Source organism: Homo sapiens, chromosome 9 (assembly GCF_000001405.40).
Source record: "Homo sapiens chromosome 9, GRCh38.p14 Primary Assembly".
Lineage (NCBI taxonomy): Eukaryota > Metazoa > Chordata > Mammalia > Primates > Hominidae > Homo > Homo sapiens.
In genome coordinates, this window is record NC_000009.12 from 130,133,113 (window position 1) to 130,152,036 (window position 18,924).

General features: G+C 49.2%; 1 protein-coding gene and 1 long non-coding RNA gene across 4 annotated transcripts in view, besides 3 other annotated features; one reads left to right on the plus strand and one right to left on the minus strand.

Annotated features, from left to right (window-relative positions):
* The window catches only part of GPR107 (G protein-coupled receptor 107), an 86,259-nt gene extending 79,207 nt beyond the window's left edge, over positions 1 to 7,052 (plus strand). For all 3 annotated transcript variants that reach the window (NM_001136557.2, NM_001136558.2, NM_020960.5), the window contains one exon: positions 1,913 to 7,052. In NM_001136557.2, coding sequence (NP_001130029.1) covers positions 1,913 to 2,009 — 97 coding nt within the window. In that variant the 3' untranslated portion in view covers positions 2,010 to 7,052. The remainder of the gene's footprint in view (positions 1 to 1,912) is intronic.
* Positions 7,053 to 7,497: 445 nt separating this feature from the next.
* On the minus strand, positions 7,498 to 11,107 carry GPRACR (GPR107 adjacent cis regulating lncRNA). The gene is made up of 2 exons (NR_135124.1): positions 10,132 to 11,107; positions 7,498 to 9,779 (listed from the first exon to the last, which is right to left on the minus strand). It is a non-coding gene; the product is annotated as a GPR107 adjacent cis regulating lncRNA (long non-coding RNA).
* Positions 8,744 to 9,517: an enhancer, noted in NCBI's record as "H3K4me1 hESC enhancer chr9:132904135-132904908 (GRCh37/hg19 assembly coordinates)". NCBI's record gives its function as "activates a minimal SCP1, AML or CMV promoter by ChIP-STARR-seq in primed H9 embryonic stem cells {active_cell/tissue: H9 hESC(primed)}" and the evidence as "EXISTENCE:reporter gene assay evidence [ECO:0000049][PMID:30033119]".
* Positions 10,292 to 11,065: an enhancer, noted in NCBI's record as "H3K4me1 hESC enhancer chr9:132905683-132906456 (GRCh37/hg19 assembly coordinates)". NCBI's record gives its function as "activates a minimal SCP1, AML or CMV promoter by ChIP-STARR-seq in naive H9 embryonic stem cells {active_cell/tissue: H9 hESC(naive)}" and the evidence as "EXISTENCE:reporter gene assay evidence [ECO:0000049][PMID:30033119]".
* Positions 17,676 to 18,514: an enhancer, noted in NCBI's record as "H3K27ac-H3K4me1 hESC enhancer chr9:132913067-132913905 (GRCh37/hg19 assembly coordinates)". NCBI's record gives its function as "activates a minimal SCP1, AML or CMV promoter by ChIP-STARR-seq in primed H9 embryonic stem cells {active_cell/tissue: H9 hESC(primed)}" and the evidence as "EXISTENCE:reporter gene assay evidence [ECO:0000049][PMID:30033119]".

Here is an 18,924-nt window from a genome sequence, read left to right on the forward strand (position 1 = left end):
GTTGCTGTGGAAGACCATCTCTTCTCCTGGGCTGTGGGCTCCGAAGAGCAATAAGACCACTTCTTTTTCCTTGATGACCTAGCATGAGGCCTGTCTTGAAGAATAAAAGTTGTTTTCTCACTTGGCCCACCATGTGGAAAGGAGTATTTTCTTAGAGAAAGAAAGGGAGAAAATGTTTTTCCCAAGTCTGCCGTCAGGCCCATATCCGGGTCACAGTGAATGCGCTTTGCCTCTTAGAATCAACGTGCATTGAACTCTTTGTCCTTTTTTAACAAGATGCAGTAACCATAGGACAGCTGTGTGATTACTGGAGTGTTTCTGGAAGACGTGGGGTCGCATTTCTTTGTGGTCTCAGTCACTGTGGAGAGGCACGGGGGCTGCTACGTGGCTCGGGGCAGGGGCTTCTCTGGCTCATGCAAAGGCCCTACCTCCTGCATCCCCGTCTAGAGAAGGTCCCTTCAGGAGCAGCCCTGTGCACATGGATCCCTCCTGGGGCAAGTGTCTTCCTAAAGAGGCCAGGCCTGAGACACAAGCCAGCTGGCCAGAAGTGACGCTGGGCGGCTTCAGCTGAGGCATTTTCGTCTTAGGGGATGCTTTTAGAGTCACTTATAGCATCTATGGGATCTGGCCACATACCTTGTCCCAACTTTGCCATAAGTACAAATAACCTGTGAGTCTAAAGGACTCGTTTGAGAAAGGTTCCGGCTTGGGGGATTCTTTGAGCCTGGGCATGGTAGCACCATAATGGCAAGAATGAAGAGATGAAGAAGAGGGGGAAGTTTTCTTCCCTTACCCCATACAAACATTTACTTACCATGAGGTCCAGCTGCATGCACTCTAGATGGGTCACATATACGGCCACTGTGTTGCCATTTGTAGGGGAAGGGGTTAGGTAGTTGGCAGAGGGATGGGTTGGGTCCTTGGAAAGAGCCTGTTGAGTTGATTGATTGAATTTATTTTACTGATGAGGAAATTTCTTTTGGTCCACCATGGGGGAGCATAAATCCTCATTGTTTCCTCGCTTGCAGGGAAGATGCTGGGCCAAGCGGCTTTTGACACCCAGTATCTCTGCCTAGTTCTGCTACTCACAGAGCCACCCAGTTCCCTCATAGACCAGCTCACCTTCTGTGAGGCAAGAGATTATCCTCTTGAGAAGGTGGGGCCCGTGCATGTGATTCCTTCTAATGGAAAGGGCTGCCTTGCTCAGCTCCTCATGCCCTGCGAGACCAGCGATCTTCCATTTTTAATCCTTGATTTCAACGAATGGCTCCATGGGGCCTCCTCAGAGCCAGGCACCAACAGACAGAGCCCCGGGAGCTCACAGAGTGGAGGCAGAGGCCATGCGCTGAGGCACAGCCACATGGCCCAGCCCCAGCTAGCAGAAAGCAGCCAGTTCTCTGTCTATAGTGGCCAAAGAATCTTTGATCCTGGAAGGTTCCTCTAAACCTGTGGTTCTGTCCCCTGGCTCAGAAATGATCCATTGTGGCTGCTTATTAAAAATGTCTGGTTGGCTAATTAGCTTTCTTTTCTGAATGTCCATTAAGAGTCAGATTTCAGTCTCATAAGCGTAACTATCACATATCTGTGCGCCACAAAAATTCCGCAAGCTGTGACAAAAAGATTCATGATGATTGTGATAACGATAGCTGGTGTTTATTGATTAGGCACTCTGGAGAATCTCATTTTTCCTCATGACAGTTCTGGAAAGTGAGAATTACTTAAGCACAGAGAGTTCAAGTGACTTGGCCAAGGTTACACAGCTAGTAAGGAACGAACCAGGAATCACACTTAGATTTTGTCTGTTTCAAAAACCAACACCCATCATCAGTCCTAATCACCGTGCTGTGGCAGAGATGGCCTTTTACTAAGAGACTGTGAGATGTTCCTAATTGTTTTTTCTTTCCTTGTTCAGTGTGACAACATCTGGGGTGATGGAAAGTATGAAGAAAGTCAAGAAGGTGACCAACGGCTCCGTGGAGCCCCAGGGCGAGTGGGAAGGCGCCGTGTGACAGAGCCGACCCTGAGGATGGCACTGTCCAAGGAAACTGTTAACTTATTCATAGTCCTATTGGACAGCAGGAGCAGCTCCTACAGTGAACTATTGGCACCACCGACAGTGACACCAGGGCACATGGCTGGAGCACAGTGCCGCGGAAACCTGATTTTGTACTCTCTTTTATGGAAACGATCTGTGGCTGTTTAGAGGCAGCTGGATCCTCTTTCAGGCGGGAATGGGAGGGCGGGCACAGGGAGGAGGAGAGGAAGAGAAAAGGAAGAATTCATTTTTAATTTAGGTTTCTTTTTTTCTTCTTCATTTCGGAGCTCTAAGGTGTATGCAGTTGTGACCCCATGTGTGGGGAAGTGTAGCAAGGACGGCTGGTGGAGGGGGAAGGAGGGTGCGAGGTGTCTGTCTGATGCTTTAGGAAATGTCTACTGAGGACCCTGGGACTTAAGAAGAAGGGCGGGGAGAGTGCCATTGCCTGTTTGGGAGACAAAAATGAACGAAAACAGGTGACTTTGGAAAGCAAAGTCAAAACCCAGTTTAGGATGTAGCACCTGCCCCAGGATTCCTGCCCTCGGCTTTGCCCCAGACCCTTATTCCAGATGCTGAGAGTGACCAGGACAGCAGCTCCTGAGGCCCAGTGGTCTTCTTTCCAACAGGAAAAGAAGGCTGTGATGTCGCTGTCAGGATCATGCCCTGTGGCACAGCACAGGTGGTGGGAGGTGGTTTTCTGACTGAGATGTTGCCTGATGGATGGAAAGAAATGTATTTTTAAGTTCAAAAAGCATTATCCTGTGGCGTTGCCTGGACATCCACTCCCTGACAGCCCAGAGCAGCACTGTCTGGCTTCCCTTCATGCTTGTGGCTTTGTTGTGTTTGATCAGAATTTTGGGGGAAATGGAAAGTTTTCCTCAAGGAGCAGCTGGGGGCAGAATAGGTAGTATTTAAGCAAATACTTAAGTCCAAGCAAATCATCCCCATTAAAAAGCTTTTCCTGTAGGCTAGTAGGATTTCTAAATAGATGAATTCAACAGACTTGGTCCCCATAGTCCAAGAGTATGTATGTGAAGAAAGTGAGCATGATTCAACAGTTTCACTCTCAGGGATTTTAGGATGGCAAAATACTTCACAGAAACTCAATGATTAAGTTCCCTTCCACACTTCCAGAGCTTGAATGAACACAGGTAGCCACCTAAATTGAGCAGTATTGCAACTCAGAGAGAAAATCATCTGAATAGTAGGACAAGCTCAGAAGGTACATTGTGACTGAGGGCTTAAAAGGAGACCAAAACATGGCCCCATCAGGGAAGCTTCTTAATGCTTGGGGGGCCAGCTAGGTAGGGTTGCTTCCAAAAGCTGGAGCCCACCCCTGCCTAGGGGTTGTCAGAGAGCCACACCTGCAGGGGAACAGGTACCTCCGAGGGTGAGAGTCGTGGTCTCTGGGAGTTGTTTTCTCACCTCTGGCTTAGAAGGGTCAGGCAGAAACCACAGGATGTGGGGTCACACTCACTGTCCCAAGTTTGGGAACCTGAAAAAGTCTCCATTCAGAACATGGTTGTTCTCCCTGTCCCATGCTATCTTATCTTCCTAAATGACTAATGAGGAAGCGGGTGTTCTTTTTCTGCACTTTGATTCGCCATCTGGGTTCTGTAGGGTGCTCTGAAGGTGTGATCTGCCTTCTGGCTGATGTGGAGGAAGAGCAAGCGCCTTCCCAGGCCACAGCTGCTCACCTCTCGGCAGATATTTTAGGCAAGCATCCGTGTGTCTTCCCATCTTCAGGAGAAAGGTAAATGCACCCTAAGTGTTCACTTCTGGACCTTTTTCAAGTTCACTTGGGACTGTGTGACAGAAGGGAGTTGGAGGGAGGATGGGAATATTTTTAACACTTTGTTTTCCTGTGCAGAAACATAATACCAGTTTTCGCAGAAATGTGTCTCAATCTGTGACTACCAAAGCCCTCCTCAGTCCTTCCCTCAGAGGGACACATTTGCTGTTTCTCCCGCAAGCAGATGTTGTGGATGAGGCGATAGACTCCTTGGCAAGAACGAAAGGTGTGATGAAACCTCCCTGCTCGGAAGGGTCTCCGTGGAGGTGTCCTCATTTCACATGCTGGGTTTTGCAAGCGAGGAAGCCAGGCAGTGGAGGAACTAGAGAGAGGCAGGCGTGTGTGTGGACAAGCGCTGGAGCCGCAGCCCTCAGACTGGCACGGGAACGCCAGCGTTGGGTGTTCAGATTCCACGCGTATGTCTGGGCTCACTCACAGCATGGCCGAGTGTCTGCAGTGCTGGTCCTGACCCTTCCAGAGCAGCAGTGGACAGATGAGATAAGACTGTTTCAGAAACAAAGATGGCCACAGCCTTCCTAACAAGCAGGTCATCTGGCCATGTCTGTATTGTAACTGGTAAAAGGCTTCAAGTCAGATTGATGATCAAGAAAAGTCAAAACCCCAGCCCAAGATTGGGAAAGCAGGTGGTGGTTCCAAGCTTTTAAAAAATTATTGAAGCTCTCCATCCTGTTCTGTGAGTGTGTCTTCTCTTTCTCCTTCACGTCATAGCCGTGACCCACCGTTCATCTCTGCTCTTGCGTAAAGATGACCGATGGAGTCCAAAGCCAAGTGGCTTCACCAGCTGACAAGCCACCCTCCTGCAGCCTGAGTTTCACAGTCCACTGGGTTCGTTGTCATGCGGTGTTTGAATGGTTAAGCCCTTGCAGTATTTCAGATCGGGCAAAAAATATCGGATGCACATAGCAGAACCATTGGTGGTATTTATAGCTTTGCTTTGTACTCCTCACTGTTTCTGCCTACGCAAAATATCCATGTTTCCTCTGAGAAATCTGTTGTGGACTGAAAGCGCTGCTGGCTGTGAAATTTAATAAAGTGTGTATGCTTTGCTAGAAAATTATTTCTTGGACAATAGGAACAGTCATTGATCTGTAAATCCTGGCTCTTAACAGTGAGTGGCCAAGGACTTGATCAGCCCATTTCTTGGTCCCTCAGTGCTTTAAAATTTAAGTAGCACTGCATTTTGTAATGTTGAATATGACTCTAGTGACTTGTAGGAGGCACTTGTGAGGAGATGCTTGCTTCAGTGTAAAAGATGCTCATGGCCTGAGTCAGTTGAGTTTTCTTTCAAGAAACCACTTCAGAGTGAAATATCCAGGGTTTCCCCGCCCTGGACATGTCCAGCCTGCCCAGGCAGCACACAGCCCTGTAAGTCCACCTCGTGTGGGTGAGATTTCCTCCTGCGTGATGACCTCATCGCCATCTCTGCTGTCTCATTCCACAGCCTCCCTCCCTCTTCTCTCCTCCTCTGCCCTCGCCCTTCCCCCTTCCCCATCCCCTCCCCCTCCTCCTCTGCCCTCGCCCTTACCCCTCCCCCTTCCCCTTCCGCTCCTCCTCCCTCCTCCACCTCTTTCTCCTCCTCCTTCCCTCCTCCTCCCTCCTCTTCCCTTCTCTGCCATCTTTCTCCCCGTGCCTATTGATCCCACATAGGCTCATTCTGGGTACACCGGCTAAAGGCTTTGGTGCATTGCAGCGTTTTCTCCCAGCAGCTGTGTGAAAGATGCATTTTCTAAGCTAAGGAGAATTTTCTCAAGAGTGGCATACTCATGCCAAATATTATTGCTCTGGGCCATATAGGCTGGTCTTCCTCCACACTAAAATGGGTGTCTTGTTTTGGTACTTAAAACAGTCTACTCCAGGCATCCAGTCCTTACAGACCAAGGAAGAGCATAGCGATGCCTGTTGGAATTGCAGATGCATTCTGGCCTTCTCCCCCGTCCTGAAACATTTTCTTTGAGGAAGGCTCTTAGAACATTAGATAGTCTGCTGAGGTTGTTGGCCCAGCTCCATACACCCAGTAGAACAGTGGAACAACTCATGCTTCATGCTGCCAAGCTGCTGTACTTCAAAGGAAACAGATCTAGCACACTGCTGCACCCCTGCTTCCACACTCCACACTTCACCCCGCTGCTTTTCTCTGACCCGCCCCTGGCCTTGTAAGACTCACGTAAGCTAAGTCCAGGATGCCTGTGGCCTGCGGCTTGATTCTTCCCTTTAGGATTCAGCAAGTTAATGGCTTCCTCGCTATAGAAGTGAGACTTTGACTTGATGCCTCTTGGTATATCAAAAAGATATTCATCCAGAAAGTACCAAATGTTCTGAAAGACCCGCTCTTCACTCCAGTTTTCCCTAGGGTGTTTCTGGCAGGGCGTTTTTAAAAGGCATCTACCTGAGTTGACGCTAATACTTGTCACCACCTGGAACGTAGTTATCGGTCGGCAGGCTGAACATACTCCAGATTCCCCAGAGGCCACTTCTGTAGCCCAGCGATGCATCTGAGCCTCTCTGCGTGGTTTATGCTTGAAAAATAGATAATGCTTTTAGATGGTTCACTGCCAGGCCATGGGCCCCACACATCTCAGGCCCTGTGTGAGGGAGCACACTGAGATGGTGCAGGAGTGAATGGGCATGGCTTGGCCTCGCTACCTCGGGGACCTGTTGGAGTTCTGGCAGCAGGGTGTCTGCAGGTGGGACGGCGTTCTGGGCAGAGTCAGAATGGTCAGAATGAAACAGAACAGCCAACTCACCCACAGGACAGCTTATTTTGAGGCAAGGTTTTGGATTTTGGAGGAAGCAGCCAGATGAGGCGGTGAGCCTCCAGAAGGTCAGCCTTTGGAGCACGTAAGATACTGTTACAGGGTCCAGAAATCGTGTTCACATGGGGGCTTTGACTCTTCAAACAGCTTTTGCAGATCGTAAATTGCATTTGCCTAGTCGTGTGACCTCAAAAGAAGTCAGACATATTTAATCCAGAAATAGTTTCGTTTGAGGGAGGGCTTGCAGGTCTGTAAATAGCATTTGCTTTCCTGGTTAGAGATTGGGATGCAGAAGGAGTTTTCAGTATTTTTTTTAAAACACTAATGATCATTGAAGAGTATTTATGTAAACATACAACGTATAATGGGTGGGGGATCCGATCATGGTGATGTACGGGGTGAATTCTCTTGCCGTGTTGCAAATGTGTAAAATAAAGATTATCTGGCAGAACCGTGTGTGTTTGAGATGCAGGGAGTTGCCGGCTCCTGGTGCTGTCTCTCCTCCACCTCCATCTCATAATTTTTTTCTTTGTGATTTTTGTTCATTAAATTAGTTAACTGCCTCCCACCAGCTCCTACTGACAATAGTGACACCTACTAGAGAAGTTCCAGGCATCTTAGCCGATCTGTGGCAGCGCAATTAAGACCCAGATAACTGAAAACCGGTTGTAGGTTACTGCTGTCCTGCTTACGCTGGAGGCGGGCGATGTCTTGTGAACCAGTGTCGGGGCACTGCTGCCATTTGAGGGGAGATGGCAGGCCTGGCGCAGAGCCCGCACTGTGACAGGCGCAAATGCACCTTCTGCATCGGTTAGCAATAGCTCTGGGTTACCCCATGTTGGAAGCAGAGAAATCCAGGATTTTAGACTCAAAGCATTTTTAGAAGTCATTCAGTTCCAAAGCCCATATTTTACTAAGAATGTTTTAAACTGAGGCATATTTTACCTACAGTAGAATCCATCCTTTTTAAATGTACCGTTTGTTGCGTTTTGACAAATGGATGTACAGTCCTGTGGCCTCCACCACAATCAAGATGAAACGTGCCCGTCACCCCACGCAGCCCCCTTTTGCCCCTTCCCGGTCCAAACTGCCCCCTTTCTGAAACTACCACAGCCCCGGCTCTGATTCCAGCGTAGTCTCATTTGCCTCATCTAGAACTTCATGTGAATGAAACTGCGCCGGGTGCCCTCTTTCGTGTCTGGCTGCTTTCACACAGCATACTGATTTGTGATTCATCCCTCCAAAGCCCTGCCTTCAAAACGCAAAAACTGGGGCCTAAAGAAGGTTCTGCCACTGCCCACCCACATCCTTCCCCTTTTTCCCCCAGCTAGTAAGTGTCAGAGCTGAGACAAGAACCCAGGCCTGCTGACTCCAACCTTGTTGGGATAATAAGGATTAAGTCAAGGGCTTGGCCCAGTGCTGGGCACAGGAAGGCCTCAGAAAAATGGCTCTGTTGGTTACTGCCGTTGTGCTTATAAAAATGTGAGCATGGGCCAGGTGCGGTGGCTCACGCCTGTAATCCCAACACTTTGGGAGGCCGAGGCAGGCGGATCACCTGAGGTCAAGAGTTCAAGACCAGCCTGAGCAATATGGCAAAACCCTGTCTGTACTAAAAGCTACAAAAATTAGCCGGATGTGGTGGTGCGTTCCTGTAGTCCCAGCTCCTCGGGAGGCTGAGGCAGGAGAATTGCTTGAACCCCAGAGGTGGAGGTTGGCAGTGAACCAAGATCCTACCACTGCACTTCAGCCTGGGTGACAGAGTGAGACTCTGTCTTAAAAAAAAAAAAAAAAAAGTGAGCATGAACCTCAGTTCACCAGATCATAGGATTTCAGAATGAGAAGGAGAGAGAATCCCTGTCCGTGGCCAAGGTTTCCCAGTTAGTGGCCATGCCCCACCCGCAGCTCTTTCTGGAGACCTTGCCTGTGCCGCAAAGCATGAGTAGGAGGCATGGGGTGTCCTGAGAGTAGGGAGTCCAGGATTCAGAACCCAGGATGAGAGATGCCAAGGCAACTCGAGAAGGGGACAGCTGAGAAAAGACTCAGGAAGGACCTTGCTGATATCTAATCCAGTGGTCCTCAAACAGCAAGCACCCGAATCCCCGACAGAGTTCCTGGGGGGCCTGAGAGTCGGCATTGCTAACACACTCCCAGCTGGTGCCAACATGGCAGATCTGGACCACACTGAGAACAGATCCAACCCAGTTCTCTTCCCGAGTCTTGGGTCAGTCTTCAGCTGGCAACACGGACAAGGGCCCACCTTGCACACAGCTCTTACGGGACAGAAGTCGGCGGCTCTGTCCTGCCAGGAGGCATTGCAGTCGGGACCAGGTGAGAGACCGCAGGCAGGTGCTGGCAGGGGCCTGGCTGTCCTGCTGCTCCCCTGAACCATCCCACATGGGGTCCCCTTGCAGTTCAGGTCTCTCTGGCTCCTTCTTCCCCCACCGCTAGCGTGGAGCTTTGCCAGTTAGAAATTCAGGGGCTGACAGGATGAGCTTGAGAAGCCTTGGCGCCCGTGGGTTTGGCATTAGAAAAGCCCACGCCCACAAGTCTGACCCCGGCTTCAGTAGCTGAGCCTCGCACCCTCCTTTGATCAGTGTCGGCAGAGGAAGAGCCGCCTGGCGCAAAGCAAGGGCTCAGCAAATGAGAGCCCTTCAGTGCCTATGGCGGGCTGGACTTCATCCAGTAAGACCACCCCTGAGGGTGATAGGTCGTTTCAAGGTCATTTCAGAACAGCCCCTCTGCCTCCTCTGTTTGCTGAGCCTCCCATCACTAGGGTCCTGACCGCAGACACCAGCCAGCCAGGAGCTCCAGTGTGAGGCTGAGGAGACCAACCTGCCCTGCTGGCCCCGAAGACGCAGGTCATACGAAGCTGGTGTATTGACTTACTCTGAATATAAGCACCCATAAGCACTTACTCTCTGCAGCACTGGAACAGGCCTGGGCATTGCAGTTGCTTAGTAAATATCAACTGGACTTGAACCTACACCAGCGTCCTGGGAGGAACAGTTCTGTCCCAGGAGGTCTGGAAGCCAGCTTGGCGATCGGCAGGCATTGTCAGGGGAGCCAGATGCCTCCCAGGTTGGCCGCCCTCCTCAGCTGCAGCATCTCATTTCTTCCCTTTGTGCAGGAGTCTTGTCATGTGATTGGTCATCTCCAGCTGGTCCACTCTGATTGGCAGCTGGAAAAACATAACGGTCAACAACTCTAGTCTGGTAGGCAAACTCTTGAAGTCAGAGAAATAATTGGGTCCTGATCTTCAAGAGGCCGGGGGATTTCTGCTTGTTCTGATAAAACAGGCAGTGCAGGCTAAATCCAGAGCAGATATTGGCCCCAGTATGTGTTTCTGAGAAGAGCCTACTGCTCCCAGGCCCCAGGACCCTGGGTAGATCCTCCCTGCCCCCACCCAGGCTCCTTAATTTTCGAAGCTGCCTTTGGGTGGCCTGCCCTTCACCAGGAATCTGTCAGGTCGGCAGATTGGTAGCCGTAGACTCCCTCAGGCTAAGTAACAAGGAGGCTGGGTAAGTGCTTACCCTAAGGAAAGAAAGCGCAGACTTCCTGGAGGCTGGCATTGGCTTTGCCCTCCCGTAAGCCACCTGCATGGTGGGGCGTTTCTGAGAATCCGTCCTGAGCCCCTCGGCACTGGCCCGCCCACTCCCACGAAGAGAAGCACGCTCAGCAGTTGGGAACTGGATGTTGGGGGGTCGGTGTGACCCACTTGGGAGCTGCACCTTAAACTGCTCCTTCCCAGTTTGCCAAAGGAATGCTGACCTTTGCAAAAATGAGGGAGCTGCTCATTAACACACATCTGCAGGAATCGAGCTTGCGCCCTGCATCAGCCATTCTAGCGTATGTCCTTAGACATAACTGCGTCTCTGTCACTCAGAGCCCTGGTTCCAGTCGGCCTCCGTCGCCTAAGGTTCAACATCGTTCAGCACACGCTGGTATGGGCAGGGCTGCAGATGAAATGATGAGTAAGCCTGGCTGTGCCACACGGGAGAGAACAGTACTGAGGAGGGGAGCAAGCCACGGGGCAAAGCCATGGGGCACAGCTGAGCGGCAGCACCACGTCTCCTCCGTTCCCACTCACTTCTTCCCTCCACCTTTGCAGCCATCTCGCTGTCCCTCGGTCCCCTTACTCTGCATCTTTCCCCTTTCCATGTCACCTGGCTCCTTCCATGAAGCAATCAAGCTTGTTCAAGTTTTCCCATGAACAAAAAGCAGCTAACAAAAAAAACAGCTGCAGGCCCCCGTCCCCCTTCAGAGCTCTCTGAGTTCCGCTGCTTCATCTTCCAGACGCCCCGGCGCACTGTGGGCTGGTTTCCACCCTGCCACGGTCTGGCTAGAGTGACTCGCAACCTCTGGGGGCTTGACTATTGTCTTCCTTGACTTTAGCAGCTTATAACACAGTGGGAGAGTCTTCCCCTCTTGAGATGCCCGCCACCACTCCTCATATGCTCCGTCGACCAAATTCAACTTCCTGTGGTTTTCCAGGTCCTTCAGCTGTGTGGCCACGGTCAGCTCGTGTCTACCCTTTAGTGTCGGGTCCTGGGCTCTGTCCCAGCTCTAGCCCTGCCCAGTCTCTCCCACTCCCTGGCTGACACCCAGGAGTTTATTTCAGCCTAACGCTGTCCTGAGATCCTCATGGCTCATTCTGCTGCCTCCTGGGCTGGTCCTTTTTTTTTTTTTTTTTTTTTTTTTGAGACGGAGTCTCGCTTTGTCACCCAGGCTGGAGTGCAGTGGCACGATCTTGGCTCACTGCAACCCCCACCTCCTGGGTTCAAGCGATTCTCCTGCCTCAGCCTCCCGAGTAGCTGGGATTACAGGCACCCGCCACCACACCCAGCTAATTTTTTGTATTTTTAGTAGAGACACGGTTTCACCATGTTGGCCAAGCTGGTCTCGAACTCTGACCTCAAGTGATCCACCTGCCTCGGGGCGCTGGGATTACAGGTGTGAACCACCACGCCTTCCTGGGCTGTTTTAAAGAGACATCAAAAGCCATACTTTCAAAATGAAATGACCACGCTCCTCCCTGATCCTGGTTAAAACAAAACAAAACAAAACAAAAACCCACCTGGCCCTTATCCTGGATGCTTCCCTCTCCCCACCCCCACCCCGTCCTGTGGTTAAAGTCCACCCACTTCGGTCCCCACTGCTACTGCCCAGGCCAGCCACCCTCATCTAGATGACAGCACCAGCCACCTGCCAGCTGGCAGCCAGGCTTCTAGTCTTGCCCCGCTTCCAGCCTATTTGCCATGTGTTAGCCAGGGTGACTCTTCGAAAGTGCTTGCCCTCTGTGTTAAGTATAGAGATTACAGAAGTGAGCCAGGAGGGTACAAGATCAAGATAAAAAACAATTGTATTTCTATACAAAATAAACAGTTCAAAAATAAAGAAAAGAACTTCATTTACAATACCATCAACAAAATGAAATACTTAGTAATAAATGTAACAGCTACAAAACTTATACTGTGAAAACTATAAAATGTTGAAAGAAATTAAAACCTAAATAAATGGAAAGACATCCCATATTCGTGGATTGGAAGACAATATTGTTAAGATGACAATACTCCCCAAATTGATCTACAAATTCAGTGTAATTTCTAGCAAAATCCCAGATGGCTTCTTTGCACAAATTCACAAGCTGAAGCTCATATGCAAATATAAGGAATCAAGAATAGCAAAAACAATGTTGGGAAAAAAAGGACAGAGTTAATGAACTCACTTCTCAGTGGGTTTTTTTGTTTGTTTGTTTGTTTTGAGACGGAGTCTTGCTCTGTTGCTTAGGCTAGAGTGCAGTGGCACAATCTTGGTACACTGCAACCTCTGCCTCCTAGCTTCAAGTGATTCCTGCCTCAGTCTCCCGAGTAGCTGGGATTACAGGCATGCTAATTTTTGTATTTTTAGTAGAGACAAGGTTTCACCGTGTTGCTCAGGCTGGTCTTGAACTCCTGACCTCAGGTTATCTGCCCACCCAAAGTGCTGGGATTACAGGTGTGAGCCACCATGCCTGGCCACTTCTCAGTTTTAAAATTTACTGCAAAGCTACAGTAATCAAGAGAGTGTAGTACTGGCAGACGTATAGCTATGTAGATCAATAAAACAGAACTGAGAGTATGAAAGAGTTGCCCAGGCTGGAGTGCAGTGGCTATTCACAGGCATGATCATAGCTCATTGCAGCCTCAAACTCCTGGGCTCAAGTCATCCTCCTGTTTCCTGAGTAGCCAGGACTACAGGCTTGTGCCACCACACACAGATCTTTTTTTTTTTTTTTTTTTTTATTGAGACCAGCCTGGGCTGGTCTCAAACTCCTGGCCTCAAATGTTTTTGTTTTTTTGAGATGGAGTCTCGCTCTGTCGCCAGGCTGGAGTGCAGTGGCACAGTCTTGGCTGACTGCAACCTCTGACTCCCTGGTTCAAGTGATTCTCCTGCCTCAGCCCCCTGAGTAGCTGGGACTACAGGCGCCCGCCACCACACCCAGCTAATTTTTGTATTTTTAGTAGAGATGGGGTTTCACCATGTTGGCCAGGCTGGTCTCGAAATCCTGACCTCAGGTGATCCACCTGCCTCAGCCTCCCAAAGTGCTGGGATTTACAGGCATGAGCCACTGCGCCTGGCCAAAATTTCCCGTCTTTTACATGTACAGTCCAGTCATGTTAAGTACATTCACTGATCTCCAGAACTCTTTATCTTGCAAAAATGGATACTCTATGCCTATTCCACAATTCTCCATTTCTTCCAGCTCCTTACCCCCACCGCTTGCCCATCACCGTTCTGCTGTCTTTGTGAATCTGACTACTATAGAGATTTCATATATCTGGAATCATACAGTATTTACCTTTTTGTGACTGACTTATTTCTCTTAGCATAATGTCTTCGAGGTTCTCTTTGCTTATTTCTGTTTTTTGTTTTTTTTGAGACAAGGTCTCCTTCTGTCACCCAGGTTGGAGTCAGTGGCATAGTCAAGGCTCACGGCAGCCTCGACATCCTGGGCTCAAGCAATCCTCCCACCTCAGCCTCCCTAGTAGCTGGGACCACAGGCATGCACCACCATACCTGGCTAATTATTTTATTTTGTGTAGAGATAGGGTCTCACTATATTGCCCAGGCTGGTCTGGAACTCCTGGACTCAAATGATCCTCTCACCTCAGCCTCCCAGAAATTCTTTGTATATTCTGAATATTAATCCTTTTTCAAATATATGGTTTACAAATAGCTTCTCTCATTCCGTGGGTTGTCTTGTCACATTTTTTATAGCGTCCTTTGATGCACAAAAGTTTTTAATTTTGATGAAGTCCAATTTATTTTTTCTCTTTTGTAGTCTATGCTTTCAGCATCCAATGATATCCAAGAAATAACTGGCAAATCCAATATCACGAAGATTTCCTCTATGTTTTCTTCTAAGAGTTTTCTATTTTTAGCTTTTCTATTAGAGCTTCGATCTATTTTATTTTTGTATATAGTGTAAGACAAAGGTCCAACTTCATTCTTTTGCATGCAGATACCGAGTTTTCCCAGCAACCACTGTTCGAAAAAAACTGTCCTTTTTCCATTTTTCCAAAGAAAGTACACAGCCAGCCAGCACGCGAACAGACGCTCAGCATCATTAGCCATCCAGGGAATGTAAATGAAAATCACAGTGAGATTCACTTCACACCCACCAGGGTGACTGTAATCAGAAAGACAGAAATGACAAGTGTTGGTGAGGACATGGAGAAACTGGCACCCACATACACAGCTGGTGGGAATGGAAAAGGGGGCACCTGCCCTGGAAAAGTTTGACAGTTCTTCAAGACAGTAAGTGTAGAGCTACCATATGACCCAATAATTCTACCCCTAGAGACAAGGGGTAGAATGCTTTTCCTTCTTTTTTTTCCTTTTTGAGACAAAAGAAATGAAAACCAGGCTGGGCACAGTGGCTCACGCCTATAATCCCAGCACTTTGTGAGCCCAAGGTGGGCGGATCACCTGAGGTCAGGAGTTCGAGATCAGCCTGGCCAGTATGGTGAAACCCCATCTCTACTAACCATACAAAAATTAGTCAGGCATGGTGGTGTGCACCTGTAATCCCAGCTACCCAGGAGGCTGAGGCAGGAGAATCACTGGAACTGGGAGGTGGAGGTTGGAGTGAACCAAGATTGTGCCACTGTACTCCAGCCTGGGCAAGAGAGAGAGAGACTCTGTCTCAAAAAAAAAAAAAAAAAAAAAAAAAAAGAAAGAAAAGAAAAAAAGAAACGAAAACCTATCTCCATACAAAAACTTGTCTACAAATATCCATGGCAGCATTAATTATAATAGTCAAAAAGTGGAAACACCCCAGCTGTCCGTCAACTGATACATGGGTCAATGAAATGCGATTGGGATATTACTCAGCAGTGAAAAGGAAAAAAGTCCTTATCCACACTGCAGCATGGAGGAAACTTGAGAACACAATGCTCAGAGAAAGACACAAAGGCCACAGGTTGTGTGACTGTTTCCATACAGTGTCCAATTTCCACTTTCCATACAAAATCCAATTTTAGATATGTCCAGAATAGGCAAGTCTATAGCAAGTGGATTCATGGTTGCTTAGGGGTAGGGGAATGAGGATTGTGGGGGTGAATGCTACGGGGCATGAGGTTTCTTTAGGGGGGTGATGAAAATGTTCTAAAATTGTGGTGTGTGGTGATGGTTGCACAACTCTCTGAATAGACTAAAAGCCACTAAAATGTACACTTTTTTTTTTTTTCGAGAGAGGGTCTTGCTCTGTCACCCAGGTTGGAGTGCAGTGGCACGATCAATGCCCACTGTAGCCTCCATCTTCCGGGCTCAAGCAATCTTCCCATCTCAGCTCCCCAAGTAGCTAGGACTATGGGTGTATGCCACCATGTCCAGCTAATGTTTGTATTGTTTATAGATAGGAGGTCTCCCTATGTTGCCCAAGCTGGTGTCGAACTCCTGGGGTCAAGTGATCCTCTCTCCTTGGCCTTCCAAAGTCCTGGGATCACAGACATGAGCCACCATGCTCAGCCAGAAGTATACACGTTAAATAGGCAAATTGTAGGCCAGGCGCGGTGGCTTATGCCTATAATCCCAGTACTTTGGGAGGCCGAGGCGGGTGGATCACGAGGTCAGGAGATCAAGACCATCCTGGCTAACATGGTGAAACCCTGTCTCTACTTAAAAATACAAAAAATTTAGCCGGGTCTGTTGCCGGGCGCCTGTAGTCCCAGCTACTTGGGAGCCTGAGGCAGGAGAATGGTGAATGAGCTGAGTGAGCCACTGCACTCCAGCCTGGGTGACAGAGCCAGACTCCGTCTCAAAAATAAATAAATAAATAAATAAATAGGCAAATTTTATGGTATATGAATTATATCTCTTTAAAGCTGCTTAAAAAATAGACAAGATATACCATTATTTGAGTTGAGAGGTGCCTGTGGGGGCACAGCATCAGGTACTCAGCCCTGGCTAGGTGTGTTCAAGGAGGGCTGCCTGGAGGAGGTACTAGCCAAACTCTCCCGTGTAGGATGAATTAGCTTGATAAAGTGGTTGGTGGTGGGGAGGTGTTCATGCAGAGGGAACAGCATGTGCTAGAGCTGGTGGTGAGAGATTGCTGTGGGGGACGTTTCCTGGCTGCCTCTCTGGCCTTTATCCCTTTTTATTATTTATTTTTTGAGACAGAGTCTCACTCCGTCACCCAAACTAGAGCGCAATGGCACAATCTCGGCTCACTGCAACCTCTGCCTCCAGGGTTCAAGTGATTCTTGTACCTCAGTCTCCTGAGTAGCTGGGATTACAGGTGTGCACCACCATGCCTGGCTAATTTTTTTTTTTTTTGTATTTTTGTAGAGATGGGGTTTCACCATGTTGCCCAGGCTGGTCTTGAACTCCTAACCTCAAGTAATCCACCCTCCTTGGCCTCCCAAAGTGCTGGGATTACAGGTGTGAGCCACTGCACCTAGCCCTTTCTTCCCTATTCTCGACTGGACCTCACATTCTTCAGGCTTGTGGTTTAGGTGGGACTGACCCCCACTCCTAGCTCTAAGCTTGGGCCTTGATTGGCTGAAGCTTATCAACACACCCCTTTTCTTCCCTCCTTGCCCCTTGTGTTGATTGGTTCAAGAACAGACAAATGGCCCCCTTCAGGCCCATCTGGGCCAATGAGACCCAGTTCCTAAGACTTGATTGGCAGGGTCAGGGGTCGGGAAGAAGTGGGTCTTTTTCAGCAAGATATGAACACCGAATAGAAGCCCTAAGCTGCTGCCTTCAGCCAAGTGGAGTGCCTTCCTGGGAACGGCTCCACTACGAAGGAAGCAGAGCCAGACATGCAGAGAGGAAAACCAGATTCTCTTATAGCCTGTGAGCCCTGGATCAAGCCTTGCCTGAAGGCATTGTTGCTGGACTCAAGTTTCATGAGTCAAAAAGTTCCCTTTTTGCTTTATCCAGTTTGGGTCAGGTTTTCTGTTGCTGTAAAGTGCTTTTGCAGATAATTGTTACTGGAAAGGGGTCCAGATCCAGACCCCTAGAGAGGGTTCTTGGATCTTGCACAAGAAAGAATTTGGGGTGAGTCCATAAAATGAAAGCAAGTTTATTAAGAAGCTAAAGGAATAAAGAATGGCTACTCCATAGACAGAACCGCCCCAAGGGCTGCTGGGTTTTGTTGTTGTTGTTGTTGTTGTTTTGTTTTGTTTTGTTTTTGAGATGGAGTCTTGCTCTGTTGCCCAGGCTGGAGTGCAGTGGCGTGATCTTGGCTCACTGCAACCTCCACCTCCCAGGTTCAAGCGATTCTCCTGCCTCAGCCTCCCCAGTAGCTGGGACTATAGGCGTGTGCCACCAAGCCCAGCTAATTTTTGTATTTTTACTAGAGACAGGGTTTCACCATGTTGGCCAGGCTGGTCTCGAGCTCCTGACCTCAGTTGATCCGCTTGCTTTGACCTCCCAAAGTGCTGGGATTACAGGCGTGAGCCACCGCACCCAGCCTGGTTGCCCATTTTTATAGTTATTACTTGATGATATGCCAAACAAGGGGTGGAGTTATTCATGCCTCCCCCTTTTAAATCCTAGAGGGTAACTTTCTGTCATTGTCATGGCATCTGTAACCTGTCATGGTGCTGGTGGGAGCGTAGCAGTGGGGACGACCAGAGGTCACTCTCGTCGCCATCTTGGTTTTGGTGGGTTTTGACCGGCTTCTTTACTGCAACCTGTTTTATCAGCAAGGTCTTTATGGCCTGTATCTTGTGCCGACCTCCTGTGTCATCCTGTGACTCAGAATGCCTTAATCGTCTGGGAATGCAGCCCAGTAGGTCTCAGCCTTACTTTACCCAGCCCCTATTCAAGATGGCGTTGCTCTGGTTCAAACACCCTGACAGAAGGAGCACACGAGGCGTCGGGGAGCCTGAGGGTCTTCACAGTCTCCCTGGAGCATCTGGGGGGGCTCCCCAGATAATGTTGGGGCAGAATTCTGAAAGAGGAGAAGGGGGTAATTAGGGAAGGAAGGGCAGGGCTGTCACAGGGAGGACTGAGACAAAGTGTCCCTCCTGAGAATCTGCGGAGGAATTCATTCATCACAGTGGCAGCCTAAGAGTGCCCTGTAGGCAGGCAGGCAGGCAGGGAGCCAGGTGGGACGCATTAGCGAGGGCCCCAACCCCAAGCCAACACTGAGAGAGTAAGAGGGGGCTGAGTTGGCACTGCCCCTAGATTAGCTCATCCTCCCATCTTGTTCTTTTTTTTTTTCTGAGATGGAGTCTCGCTCTGTCATCCAGGCTGGAGTGCAGTGGCACGATCTCGGCTTACTGCAACCTCTGCCTCCTGGGTTCAAGCGATTCTCCTGCCTCAGCCTCCTGAGTAGCTGGGATTACAGGCACACACCACCATGCCCGGCTAATTTTTGAATTTTTAGTAGAGACAGGGTTTTACTATGTTGGCCAGGCTGGTGTCGAACTCCTGACCTCAGGTGATCCGCCTGCCTCAGCCTCCTGAAGTGGTGGATTACAAGCATGAGCCACTGCACCCGGCACCTCCCATCTTATTCTAAAGTGAGGTCCAAGGGGATCACCCAGGAGCCCTGGCTGGGGAGTCTGGGTGTGCTGTCTCCTGGACCAAGCCCTTTCCAGATACCACTCTGGGTTTTGGCTGGAAGCAAACCTTCCAGGCCTGAGCCCGGGATAAGGCTGATTTTGTTGTTTTTGAGAAAAAGCTCCTTTGCTTCATCTAGAGTTCCCATTCTAGAGGGCTCCTTTGCCCTCCCTGCTTTTCGGTGAGTTTGCCTCTTTCTCCTGCCTTTTTACTGTCCAGGCCTCAGAAAATCCATCAGCGGGTGGCTGCATTGATTTTTAATCACGTTT